The sequence below is a fragment of the Homo sapiens genome, chromosome 8 (genome assembly GCF_000001405.40).
Source record: "Homo sapiens chromosome 8, GRCh38.p14 Primary Assembly".
Taxonomy (NCBI): domain Eukaryota; kingdom Metazoa; phylum Chordata; class Mammalia; order Primates; family Hominidae; genus Homo; species Homo sapiens.
Window position 1 is genome coordinate 125191985 of NC_000008.11, and position 14227 is coordinate 125206211.

General features: G+C 38.0%; 1 protein-coding gene across 14 annotated transcripts in view, besides 1 other annotated feature; it reads left to right on the top strand.

Annotated features, from left to right (window-relative positions):
* The window catches only part of NSMCE2 (NSE2 SUMO ligase component of SMC5/6 complex), a 275261-nt gene that overhangs the window by 100125 nt on the left and 160909 nt on the right, over positions 1-14227 (top strand). The gene's annotated exons all lie outside the window — the stretch shown is intronic.
* Positions 100-239: an enhancer, noted in NCBI's record as "active region_27905". NCBI's record gives its function as "activates an Ori minimal core promoter by ATAC-STARR-seq in GM12878 lymphoblastoid cells {active_cell/tissue: GM12878}" and the evidence as "EXISTENCE:reporter gene assay evidence [ECO:0000049][PMID:35858748]".

The window sequence follows — 14227 nt, forward strand, 5'->3', positions numbered from 1 at the left end:
AGCTATAATTAAAGTTAGTGAAGAAAGGTTCAGTTATCAAGGGACAAATGAGTCAGCAGCAAGTTTAAACACAAACTGTGAACTCTGGGTGTTTCTCTCATTGTGACTTATTTTAAGAGAGTATGATGCCATCCACACTCAGAAAGTAGCCTGAATCTAGATTAGGAAGACCAAGTCTTAAGTGTCCCAGAGATGATGTTACATTATACCTAAGAAAATAATTATCTTGTTGAGTTATAATTCCTGAAGTTAGAATGATTTAAGTGTTATATTTGTTAGATATACTGGAAGTTTCAGGCAAAGTTATTGAGCATTTCTGTCTACTTCTACTTCATTTTTAAAAGGTTTTTTTTTTTTTTTAAAGAAAGTTTAAGTAGAATTTTGGCATCTTAGTGCGTGGTGTGTTATTGTGTGTATAGCAAGTAGACATGGTTTACTCATTAACTATCTGAAATTTTGAAGTCAAATGAAATGTTTCAAGTTAATATTGTAATTTGGCTTTATAAAGCAGCTATAATTGAATATTATATGTATATGGTAGCAAATAGGGAAAAAACTGCGTATAGAAATTCAGAGCTACTTGTATAGAAATGCATTGTTGGTGAACAACATTTGAAATCGAGCACAGTCATACAATTTTACACATTCAAATAATACTAATGACTTGCTACATTTCATTTCAATTTAAGATTTTAGGAGCATTAATGTGGTATCACAAAAAGGGCACAATAATGGAAATCGAAAGACCTAACTTAGACATTAATGAATGGATTCTACCCACTCTGGCAATTCAGTTTCTGTCTCTGGATCTCATGTCCTCACATAGGGGAAAGGCTTCATCTGTAAGGCTGCCTGCCAGATGATGATAGATGATGATGACGCGCTCTACTGCTAACATGTGCTGTCTTTTCAGTATCATTCTAATATGTTTTCTTTGGAATTCCATACTTTAAGGAGATGTTCTGAAGTAATGAAGCAAAAGTTATTTACAAAGATATCCTTTATGATATTATTTGTAATTAATATATTAACAACGTATAATAGTTGAAGGCTAGTTATGTAAAATATGCAACATCAATTCAATGAAATATTTTGCAATCATTAAAAATGATGTGAGGAGTTTTAATAACATCAGGAAATAAATGCTTATGCTATTAAGAGTTAACAGGGTATAAAGTTGAGTATTCAGTATGATTACAAGTAGGTTAACTACACATTTATGTAAAGTAGACTTCATCAAAATTAAAACCTCCAACTTATCACGACAGACATTAAGGTAGTGAATGGACAAGCTACAACATAGGACAAAATATTCACAAAACATGTATCTTACAAAGAATATAGTATATCCAGACTGTGTAAAAAACTGGAACTAATAATAAGAGACAACACACTTCTGTTTAAAAATTAGCAAAGGTTTGAACAGACTTCACAAAAGAAGATAAACAAATGGCTAATAAACATATGAAAAATATTTTTTAAACCACATTCATAGAATAAACACTGCTGGTTGTAGCATTATGCTTCTACCTTGTCTCTTTATCTACCTTCATTTTTTAAAATGTATTTATTCTTCACTAGTTTTCTATAAAGAGTCTATATAGTTTTATAATCAAGAAACCAAAATCCCTCAATTTACTGAGAAAGAACTATTGGTTAGGAGTGACAAGCATGCTTGGGAGGATATTTTCTTAGAAAAGAGGTAAGTGTTGTAAAACAAAACAAAAAGCGTATTTCTTCTTCTAAGATTTCAGAAGAATTGAAAGAAGAAAGGTACATGGCTGCTTTATCTTCACCCCTAGTTTTATCCTAAGTGTGCCCCTTCAGTCTCTGCCTATCACTGAGACAGTCTGGTGGACAGTGAGAAGCAGCCTCATAATTACCCTTTGTTATTCTCTGTTAACTCTCATCATCCCCATTAACTGTATGTCGTTGATTTATTTGCCAGGTCCTTGTCACTTTGTCCTTGAAATATCAGAAAGTGTTAGTGGTTCTTGTGGAGAGTGTTGCCTCTTTGTATATGTTGAAAGAGGAGGAGGAATGCTTGCAAAATGTATTGTATGCATGACTGTATTTCATAAGGCATATTTTAGCTTACAAAGCACTCTCCCATCTATTATCTTATTTAATTTTCACAACAACTTAGTGTGGTAGGTAGATAGTATTAATCCCATTTTACGGATGAGGTTCTGCACAATCAGTTGTCCTGCACAGTTCTATCAATCAACCCCCAACAAAAAATTCTCCTGTGCCACTTTGTAGTTGACTCCTCCCCCCATTCCCAGCCCCTGGCAACCACTGTTTTGTTTTTTCTATATATAATTTTAATTTTTCCAGAATGTTGTATAGGTAGAATTGTACAGTGTGTAGCCTTTTGAGTGGCTTCTTTCACTTATCAGAGTGCATTTGACATTCATTAACAGTATTGCTAGTTATCTGCAGTTTGTTGCATTCTATTGCTGAGTAGTATCTCATCGCATGGATATACCATAGTTTGTTTATTCATTTACCAGTTGAAGAACATCTCAGTTGTTTCCAGCTGGTGGCCATTATGAATAAAACTGCTAGGATTCATGTACAGAGTTTTATGTGAATATGTCTTAATTTCTATTGAGTAAATATCCAGGCATAAGATTGATGGCTTTGGTAAGCATATGATTGCTGGGATTAGTAAGCATATGATGTTTAGCTTATAAGAAATGGACATTTTGTCGATATTATTTATAAAATTTTAAAAAAAAGAAATGGACAAACTGTTTTTCAATGTGCAGTCTATGAGAATTGCACCCTCACCAGCACTTGGATTATTTTTCGTTTTGTTTTTCATTCTGCTATTCTAATAAGTATGTAGTGATATCTCATTGTGGTTTTAATTTATGTTTTTCTAACCTTTTTTATATTTAAATTTTTCATATAATGTTCATGTTTGTCTATTAGCATATCTTCTACATTTATTCTTTAATTCATTCCAGAAACACTATAGGTGACCTGTAGCAATGGTTCTTAGAGTGATTCTCATACCAGTAGCATGAGCATCACCTAGAAACTTATTAAAAATATAAATTTTTAGGTTCTACCCTAGACCTACTGAATCTGAAACTGGGAGAGTAAGACTGAATTTTCAGCTCTCCAAATGATTCTCCTGTAACCCAAAGTTTGAGAACCACTGGTTTACAGCGGAGGTGCTCACCCATCCCTAGGCGTCAATATCAACTGTGAACATTAAAAAAAGAAAAGAAAATCAGAGTTCAGTCTCTACCCCAGAGATTCAGATTAAGTTTGTGTCTGGTAAGTCCACAGGCATTTTTTTTTAATGTTCTCCTGGCAATGCTAATGTACAATGAGGGTTGAAAATAATCTACTGAAAGTTGTTTACTAGGCGCTCTAAACGATACAAATCTGACACCAATTCCAGATCTGATGCAGCTTATTATTTAAAAGGGAGGATCCATACAAACATATCTTAGCATAGTCATAAGCACATACATATAAGTCACTTAGTAATTACCTAATGAATTAAATTGTACTTGGTGTCCTGGTTTTAAATATAAATGAACTTCATTTACCCATATCTCAGAGCCTCATTTTGAAACTCGATGTTGTACTTAGCATTCATTCATTCAACAGATGTTCATTTAATATGCTGGGAATATGGCAGTGAACAAAATAGACAAGTCTCTATGCTCATGGAGCTTACATTCTGGCACTGACCATCAACCCACTTTACAGTATTTTGGGGGAAATATATTTCTTTATAACTCTAAAACAAATATGCCTATTTATTGATAGTCTTAATCATGATATTTGTGTTATGCTCAAGTACTGTCTTTCAGAGTTATTTGCCTTGTATTTGTTAAAGTTTATGTTAGTCATTACATTCTTTTTCCTGAATAACTTTTTTTTTTTTTTTTTTTTTTTTTGAGATGGAGTCTCATTCTGTCACCCAGGCTGGAGTGCAGTGGTGTGATCTCGGCTCACTGCAACCTCCAACTCTTGGGTTCAAGCAATTCTGCTGCCTCCCAAGTAGCTGGGATTACAGGTGCCTGCCACCATGTGAAGCTGATTTTTATATTTTTAGTGGAGACTGGGTTTCACCGTGTTGGCCAGGCTCCTGGTCTCGACCTCCTGACCTTATGTGATCCTCCTGCCTTGGCCTCCCAAAGTGCTGGGATCACAGGCATCAGCCACCAAGTGCAGCCCTGGATAACTTTTTTTTTTCTTTTTTTTTTTTTTTATACTTTAAGTTCTAGGGTACATGTGCACAACGTGCAGGTTTGTTACATAGGTATACATGTGCCATGTTGGTTTGCTGCACCCATCAACTCGTCATTTACATTAGGTATTTCTCCTAATGCTATCCCTCCCCCAGCACCCCTACTCCCTGACAAGCCGTGGTGTGTGATGTTCCCCGCCCTGTGTCCAAGTGTTCTCATTGCTCAATTTCCACCTGTGGGTGAGAACATGTGGATTTGGTTTCCTGTCCTTCTGATAGTTTCCCAAGAATGATGGTTTCCAGCTTCATCCATGTCCCTGCAGAGGACATGAACTCATCCCTTTTATGGCTGCATAGTATTCCATGGTGTATATGTGCCACATTTTCTTAATCCAGTCTATCATTGTTGGACATTTGGGTTGGTTCCAAGTCTTTGCTATTGTGAATAGTGCCACAGTAAACATATGTGTGCATGTGTCTTTACGGTAGCATGATTTATAATCCTTTGGGTATATACCCAGTAATGGGATCGCTGGGTCAAATGGTATTTCTAGTTCTAGATCCTTGAGGAATTGCCCAACTGTCTTCCACAGTGGTTGAACTAATTTACACTACCATCAACAGTGTAAAAGCATTCCTACTTCTCCACATCCTCTCCAGCACCTGTTGATTCCTGACTTTTTAATGATCGCCATTCTAACTGGCATGAGATGGTATCTCATTGTGGTTTTGATTGCATTTCTCTGATGACCAGTGATGATGGGCATTTTTTCATGCGTCTGTTGGCCGCATAAATGTCTTCTTTTGGGAAGTGTCTGTTCGTATCCTTTGCCCACTTTTTAATGGGGTTGTTTTTTTCTTGTAAATTTGTTTAAGTTCTTTGTAGATTCTGGATATTAGCCCTTTATCAGATAGGTAGATTGCAAAAATATTCTCCCATTCTGTAGGTTGCCTGTTCACTCTGATGGTAGTTTCCTTTGCCATGCAGAAGCTCTTTAGTTTAATTAGATCCCATTTGTCTATTTTGGCTTTTGTTTCCATTGCTTTTGGTGTTTTAGTCATGAAGTCCTTGCCCATGCCTATGTCCTGAATGGTATTGCCTAGGTTTTCTTCTGGGGTTTTTATGGTTTTAGGTCTAACATTTAAGTCTTCAATCCATCTTGAATTAACTTTTGTATAAGGTGTAAGGAAGGGATCCAGTTTCAGCTTTCTACATATGACTAGCCAGTTTTCCCAGCACCATTTATTAAATAGAGAATCTTTTCCCCATTTCTTGTTTTTGTCAGGTTTATCAAAGATCGGATGGTTGTAGATGTGTGGTGTTATTTCTGAGGCCTCTGTTCTGTTCCATTGGTCTGTATATCTGTTTTGGTACCAGTATCATGCTGTTTTGGTTACTGTAGCCTTGTAGTATAGTTCGAAGTCAGGTAGCCCACAGCTTTGTTCTTTTTGCTTAGGATTTTCTTGGCAATGTGGGCTCTTTTTTGGTTCCATGTGAACTTTAAAGTAGTTTTTTCCAATTCTTTGAAGAAAGTCATTGGTAGCTTGATGGGGATGGCATTGAATCTATAAATTACTTTGGGCAGTATGGCCATTTTCACTATATTGATTCTTCCTATCCATGAGTATGAAATGTTCTTCCATTTGTTTTTGTCCTCTTTTATTTCATTGAGCAGTGGTTTATAATTCTCCTTGAAGAGGCCCTTCACATCCCTTGCAAGTTGGATTCCTAGGTATTTTATTCTTTTTGTAGCAATTGTGAATGGGAGTTCACTCATGATTTGGGTCTCTGTCTGTTATTGGTGTATAGGAACGCTTGTGATTTTTGCACATTGATTTTGTATCCTGAGACTTTGCCGAAGTTGCTTATCAGCTTAAGGAGATTTTGGGCTCAGACGATGGGGTTTTCTAACTATACAATCATGTAATCTGCAAACAGGGACAATTTGGCTTCCTCTTTTCCTTATTGAATACCCTTTATTTCTTTCTCTTGCCTGATTGCCCTGGCCAGAACTTCCAACACTATGTTGAATAGGAGTGGTGAGAGAGGGCAGCCTTATCTTGTGCCGGTTTTCAAAGGGAATGCTTCCAGTTTTTGCCCATTCAGGATGATATTGGCTGTGGGTTTGTCATAAATAGCTCTTATTATTTTGAGATATGTTGCATCGATACCTAGTTTATTGAGAGTTTTTAGCATGAAAGGCTGTTGAATTTTGTCAAAGGCCTTTTCTGCATCTATTGAGATAAGCATGTGGTTTTTGTCATTGGTTCTGTTTATGTGATGGATTACATTTATTGATTTGCGTGTGTTGAACCAGCCTTGCATCCCAGGGATGAAGCCTACTTGATCGTGGTGGATAAGTTTTTTGATGTGCTGCTGGATTCGATTTGCCAGTATTTTACTGAGGATTTTCACATCGATGTTCATCAGAGATATTGGTCTAAAATTCTCTTTTTTTGTTGTGTCTCTGCCAGGCTTTGGTATCAGGATGATGCTAGCCTCATAAAAGGAGTTAGGGAGGTTCCCTCTTTTTCTGTTGATTGGAATGGTTTCAGAAGGAATGGTACCAGCTCCTCTTTGTACCTCTGGTAGAATTAGGCTGTGAATCTGTCTGGTCCTGGGCTTTTTTTGGTTGGTAAGCTATTAGTTACTGCCTCAATTTCAGACCCTGTTATTGGTCTATTCAGAGATTCCACTTCTTCCTGGTGTAGTCTTGGGAGGGCATATGTGTCCAGGAATTTATCCATTTCTTCTAGATTTTCTAGTTTATTTGTGTAGAGGTGTTTATAGTATTCTCTGATGGTAGTTTGTATTTCTGTGGGATTGGTGGTGATATCCCCTTTATCATTTTTTTATTGCGTCTGTATGATTCCTCTCTCTTTTCTTCTTTATTAGTCTTGCTAGTGGTCTGTCAATTTTGTTGATCTTTTCAAAAAACCTGGATTCATTGATTTTTTGAAGGGTTTTTTTGTGTATCTCCTTCAGTTCTGCTCTGATCTGAGTTATTTCTTGCCTTCTGCTAACTTTAGAATTTGTTTGCTCTTGCTTCTCTAGTTCTTCTAATTGTGATGTTAGGGTGTCGATTTTAGATCTTTCCTGCTTTCTCTTATGGGCATCTAGTGCTATAAATTTTCCTCTGCACACTACTTTAAATGCATCCCAGAGATTCTGGTACGTTGTATCTTTGTTCTCATTGGTTTCAAAGAACATCTTTATTTCTGCCTTCATTTCGTTATTTACCCAGTAGTCATTCAGGAGCAAGTTGTTCAGTTTCCATGTAGTTGTGCGGTTTTAAATGAGTTTCTTAATCCTGAGTTCTAATTTGATTGCACTGTGGTCTGAGAGTTTGTTGTGATTTCTCTTCTTTTACATTTTCTGAGGAGTGCTTTGCTTCCAATTATGTGGTCAGTTTTAGAATAAGTGTGATGTGGTGCTGAGAAGAATGTATATTCTGTTGATTTGGGGTGGAGAGTTTTGTAGATGTCTATTAGGTCTGCTTGGTGCAGAGCTGAGTTCAAGTCCTGGATATCCTTGTTAACCTTCTGTCTTGTTTATCAGTCTAATATTGACAGTGGGGTGTTAAAGTCTCCCGTTATTATTGTGTGGGAGTCTAAGTCTCTTTGTAGATCTCTAAGGACTTGCTTTATGAATCTGGGTGCGCCTGTGTTGGGTGCATATATATTTAGAATGGTTAGCTCTTCTTGTTGAATTGATCCCTTTACCATTATGTAATGGCCTTCTTTGTCTCTTGATCTTTGTTGGTTTAAAGTCTGTTTTATCCGAGACTAGGATTGCAACCCCTGCTTTTCTTGCTTTCCATTTGCTTGATAGATCTTCCTCCATCCCTTTATTTTGAGCCTATGTGTGTCTCTGCACATGAGATGGGTCTCCTGAATACAGCACATTGTTGGGACTTGACTCTTTATCCAATTTGCCAGTCTGTGTCTTTTAATTGGGGCATTTAGCCCATTTATATTTAAGGTTAATATTGTTATGTTTGGATTTGATCCTGTCATTATGATGTTAGCTGGTTATTTTGCCCGTTAATTGATGCAGTTTCTTCCTAGCCTCGATGGTCTTTACAGTTTGGCATGTTTTTGCGGTGGCTGGTACCAGTTGTTCCTTTCCATGTTTAGTGCTTCCTTCAGGAGCTCTTGTAAGGCAGGCCTAGTGGTGACAAAATCTCTCAGCATTTGCTTGTCTGTAAAGGATTTTATTTCTCCTTCACTTATGAAGCTTAGTTTGGCTGGATATGAGATTCTGGGTTGAAAATTATTTTCTTTAAGAATGTTGAATATCGGCCCCCACTCTCTTCTGGCTTGTAAGATTTCTGCTGAGAGATCCGCTGTTAGTCTGATGGGCTTCCCTTTGTGGGTAACCTGACTTTTCTCTCTGCCTGCCCTTAACATTTTTTCCTCCGTTTCAACCTTGGTTAATCTGACAATTATGTGTCTTGGGGTTGCTCTTCTCGAGGAGTATCTTTGTGGTGTTCTTATATTTCCTGAGTTTGAATGTTGGCCTGCCTAGCTACGTTGGGGAAGTTCTCCTGGATAATATCCTGAAGAGTTTTTTCCAACTTGGTACCATACTCCCTGTCACTTTCAGCTACACCAATCAAACGTAGGCTTGGTCTTGTCACATAGTCCCATATTTCTTGGAGGCTTTGTTTCTTTTTACTCTTTTTTCTCTAACTTTTCTTCTTGCTTTATTTCATTAATTTGATCTTCAATCACTGATATCATTTCTTCCAGTTGATCGAATCGGGTATTGAAGCTTGTGCATGCATCACGAAGTTCTTGTGCCTTGGTTTTCAGCTCTATCAATTCATTTAAGGTCTTCTCTATACTGTTTATTCTAGTTAGTCATTCGTCTAACCTTTTTTCAAGTTTTTTAGCTTCCTTGTGATGGGTTAGAACATGCTCCTTTAGCTTGGAGAAGTTTGTTATTACTGACCTTCTGAAGCCTACTTCTGTCAACTCGTCAAAGTCATTCTCCGTCCAGGTTTGTTCCATTGCTGGCGAGGAGCTGTGATCCGTTGGAGGAGAAGAGGCACTTTGGTTTTTAGAATTTTCAGCTGTTCTGCTCTGGTTTCTCCCCATCTTTTTGGTTTTATCTACCTTTGGTCTTTGATGTTGGTGACCTACAGATGGGGTTTTGGTGTGGATGTCCTTTTTGTTGATGTTGATGCTATTCCTTTCTGTTTGTTAGTTTTCCTTCTAACAATCAGGTCCCTCAGCTGCAGGTCTGTTGGAGTTTGCTGGAGGTCCATTCCAGACCTTGTTTGCCTGGGTATCACCAGCGGAGGCTGCAGAATCACAAATATTGCAGAACAGCAAATATTGCTTCCTGATCCTTCCTCTGGAAGTTTTGTCCCAGAGGGGCACCCGCCTGTATGAGTTGTCTGTCAGTCCCTACTGGGAGTTGTCTTCCAGTTAGGCTACACAGCGCTCAGGGACCCACTTGAGGAAGCAGTGTGTCCATTCTCAGAGCTCAGTCGTTGTGCTGAGAGAACCACTGCTCTCTTCAGAGCTGTCAGACAGGGACGTTTAAGTCTGCGAAAGTTTCTGCTGCCTTTTGTTCAGCTATGCCCTGTCCACAGAGGTGGAGTCTATAGAGGCAGTAGCCCTTGATGAGCTGTGGTGGGCTCCCCCAAGTTCAAGCTTCTCAGCCGCTTTGTTTACCTACTCAAGCCTTAGCAATGGCGGACACCCCACCGTCCCCCACCCCATTCCCCCGCCTTCCTGCGAAGCTTCAGCCTCGCAGGTTCTCAGGCTGCTGCGCTAGCAGTGAGCAAGGCTCCGTCGGCATGGGACCTGCCAAGCCAGGCACAGGAGAGAATCTCCTGGTCTGTTGGTTGCTAAGACCATGGGAAAAGCACAGTATTTTGGCGAGAGTGTCCTGTTTTTCCAGGTACAGTCTGTCACGGCTTCCCTTGGCTAGGAAAGGGAAATCCTCTGGCCCCTTGCGCTTCCTTCGTGAGGCAATGCCCCGCCCTACTTCACCTTGCCCTCCATGGGCTGCACCAGCTGTCCAACCAGTCCCAGTGAGATGAACCAGGAACCTCAATTGGAAATGCCAAAATCACCAGTCTTCTGCGTCGATCACGCTGGGAGCTGCAGACCGGAGCTGTTCCTATTCAGCCATCTTGGAACGGACCAGCCCTGGATAACTTTTTAAACTCATTTATTTAGTCACCTATATATGTTGATAACAGTGGTACAGATAGAGACTGTCTAAACCATGGAAAGATAACTGGAATCTGAAATGAGAAAATGTAAGTTCAGATAGTGGCACAACCAAGTAATAGTTTGTGGTTTTTAAAGCACATCAATGAAATTATATTTTTATGCAAAGTATAGTAATATAATAATAATGCTAACTAGCCCACAGAGTTGTTTATGGGTTAAATCAAATATTATATGTGAAAAGTGTTTTATAAACTGTCATATACTCCCCAAATATTAGTTACCTGATATTTTTGAACTTATTAGAGGCATTTACTTTAATAATTTTCATTTATACATATACTTAAATTGTATAAGGATAAACATTTTAAAGTTATTATCAATTGGCATGAATTCTTAAGCATAAGCAATGTTTTAATAATTTTGTTAATGTGTTAAAGATCTTAATGAAGGATAAAATATTGCTGGACTTTCAAGTAGTTAAGGAATGTTCTGTAATTGGCAAGGGTGGGAACAAAAAAATGTTGACAAGGTAACACATCATTTTTCAGTACAGTATTGGTTTTGACAACCTTTTCTTGATAGGAAGACAGAAACTGAAGTGTCAGGAATTGCTGTATTCACCATGAACCTTCCTATGCTCTGATGAAAACATGAATATTTGTTATAAGCAAATGAAATGGAGCTGCAGCTATCACTATGTACTCTGTGGGCCTTTAATACAGTAGGGATTCCTTTATAGATATACATAGATTTAAATTGAAAAAAATGGTCTTTGCTGTTTGAGCTCAGTTGTTTAGTTAGCCTTTAAAAAAAAAAAAAATCACCAGATAACTTATCGTAAATGTTGTGTGTGTGTGTGTGTCTGTATGTATATATATAATTTTTTTAGTACCCTCATCTCCTGTCAACCTGTTTGCCAGATTATAGACTGTATCATACCCATGGACCTTGCATAACTAATATCTAGAAAGAGGAAGGGAAGGAGGCAGAAATGGCTTCCTAGGGAGAAGCTTTTACTGAGAAATAAGCCACATGGCTCCACAGCCAGCCCATAGGTCTTTGAGATATATACAGCCCATGCTTCATCCTACCCCTACCTTGTAAATGTTAATAGACTTTATTCTTAAATAATTATTGTTAACAGACTCTTTTTTAAGAACAGTTTTAAGTTCATAGCAAAATTGAGCATAAGATACAGAGATTTCCCATATACCCCACATGTGCATAGATTCCCCCATTATCAATATTTTAGTGAGTAGGCCCCTACTATATTCAGAGCACTGCTAGTCACTAGGAATGTAAGTAAGTAATTGATGTCTTGGAGGTGAGAAGAAAAGGAGACTAGTCTCTTGAGATTACAAGGTCCTAGAAATTTAACATGCAAAATCTGGAGAAGATAGAGAGTAGGGTGGGGTTGTTGAAAGGTTTTTAGTAGGGTTTTCCAAAGTAAACATAGTCAGGTTATTTTAAAAAATAAAATATAACTTGTTAGCTTGAAAGTAGGAGAAAAAAATTTAAAAAAATAAAATTTCAGTGTTAGATATATTAGTCAGTTTACTTTCCTATGGGATTCCCTAGTCCTTATCGTGTAATTTACATTTGGCTAGAATGTCATTGCGGTGAGACAGATGCTTGTCTGTCTTAATCTGTTATATCCCTAGTGCCTAAAACAGTACCTGTCATGGAACCAGTGCTTAGTATATATTTGGGAAGTGAATAAAGGATTATAGAAGGGGGTTATGACTTAGTTCATGTGACCTTTTTTCCCCCATGGGACAAATATTTCATGACAAATACTTTGACACATAGTAGTCCTGGGAATAAAAGATAGGTCAAGGCCCTTTTTGCGAAGGTTACCTTGGCAGACCTGGGCAACAACTACACTCTTAAGCACAAAGTGTGGCTGCCTGTTTGTTGGAGGTGTTCCCAGACTTCCTGGCAACCTTCCTTGCCCAGTTTGACCATTGGGTCCTTCCTTATAGAAGGTACTTCCTTTCTCTTTCCCGAGAGGACACTATACTGTGACTTCACTTCAGTTGCCTAAGGTAGGAAACTTACAAATTAGACTCAAGAACTTTTCATTCCTTCCTCCAATCATCAGCCTTAACAACCTCCATCTTTCCTTTATATGGAAGCATTAATTTTTCCCCGTACACAAAGTATTAAGTTGACCATACTTCTTATATTTGATAGTTGTATGGAGTCAAGAAAATATAGTAGTAGCTTGTTTATGTACATTTTCCTCCTGCTGTAGAGCACAGGGGTTTTACTTTACATTTACCAAAAGCAGAAAATTCCTACTGCAGAGATGGGTAAGAATTATGCCATTCAATAAGATACGCTGTCTAGTCCCATTCCTAAAAGTCTAGTCCCATTCCTAAAAATCCCTACCAGTCCCCTCTCCATTACTTTCTGCCCCCACTACTATTGCTGCTCTACTTCTGATCTTGCTGTCAGCCTCCTATATGCTCCCAGCTCTAACTAGATCCGGCCAGTTTCTACCAGAATGATCATTCTGCAGCATATACCTGGTCATGCTTGCTCACAGGAAACTGGCAAGAGTCAAGTAGGGCATGGGCTTTCCATGGCTCCCTTCAGCCCTTCTGGCTCCAGGCTCCTATTTCACTTTCTCACCGCTCTCCTCTCTAGCCCTTGGAATCCAAACACTTAACATTCCTAGAAAGTACTGTGTTCTCTTTACCTGTAGACTTTCACTCTTGCTGATCTCTTCATGGACTATTCTACCCCTCTTTCTCTTCCCTTGGTTAAGGCAAGTCCCTCCTTCTGCCTCAATGCAGAAATCACTGACTTCAGGGAGTCTTCCCTAAGGTAGAGCAAGTGCATGTCTACAATGTGAGACCTTTAAAGAAGCTTTCATCTGGAGAAGAGTATCTAATTACAAAGATTAGGAAAAAGTATGTGCTTGGCAGGAAGAGGGATTTGAGGCAAATTTTATGGTGGCTTTGAAATATCCTAATTATTTCATTTAAATAGTGTACTAAATGGAACCCCAAACTGAAATATTCAACTCATAATCTAATATTTGACATGCATTATACTGTCCCTTATCCATCAGTAAAATGTTCTGTATCTGCTGCTTTTGGTGATGGTGCATCCCAGGAGACACACTGACTGAAACACATTAACCTTCTCTCTTGACTGGCTCATTTGATTCAAATAACAAGTTCCCCCATAACCCTACTTCAAAAACTAGAAAGTATCTTACTCCATTTTCAGAATACCAAGTTGTGAGAAGCAGCGAGCTATTCTTTGTTTTTGTTACTCTTTGTTTACCATTAACCTAGTAATCACCTCGGCTGGAGGCTGGAGATTGAAGCAGGGGAGTGGGGGAGGAGGACCTGAAGGAGCAGAGGGTTGAGAAAAAATGGTTAGAATTATAGGTTGTAAATACCAGTATCGTACTTAATAAAATATGCTATCTCTGATGGTCAAGCTTAAGCTTTTATAATACAATGATTTAAGATAATTATAATCAATTGAATTTTAAAGATATAAAATGTGTGCCAAAACTCTTTAATATATTGTCCTGGTAAGTGTGCTTTTGGGAATCACTTCTAATATGATAGTCCAAAATTTAAGTGTTTTATATACAGAGATTTCTGTGTGATGTTCAACAAGAAACTTGGGAAACAATCAAGAGCTTTGTGAAAATTATCTATAAAATGACGTGTTCAGAAAATGTTTTATCATATAATATTAAATGTTAAAGCAGTATAAATATTTATATGTATTCTGATCACCGTGACCAGGTAAGGAAATACTGTAAGCCATGAACAGAAATAGAACAGAAGTCACAGGACTTGA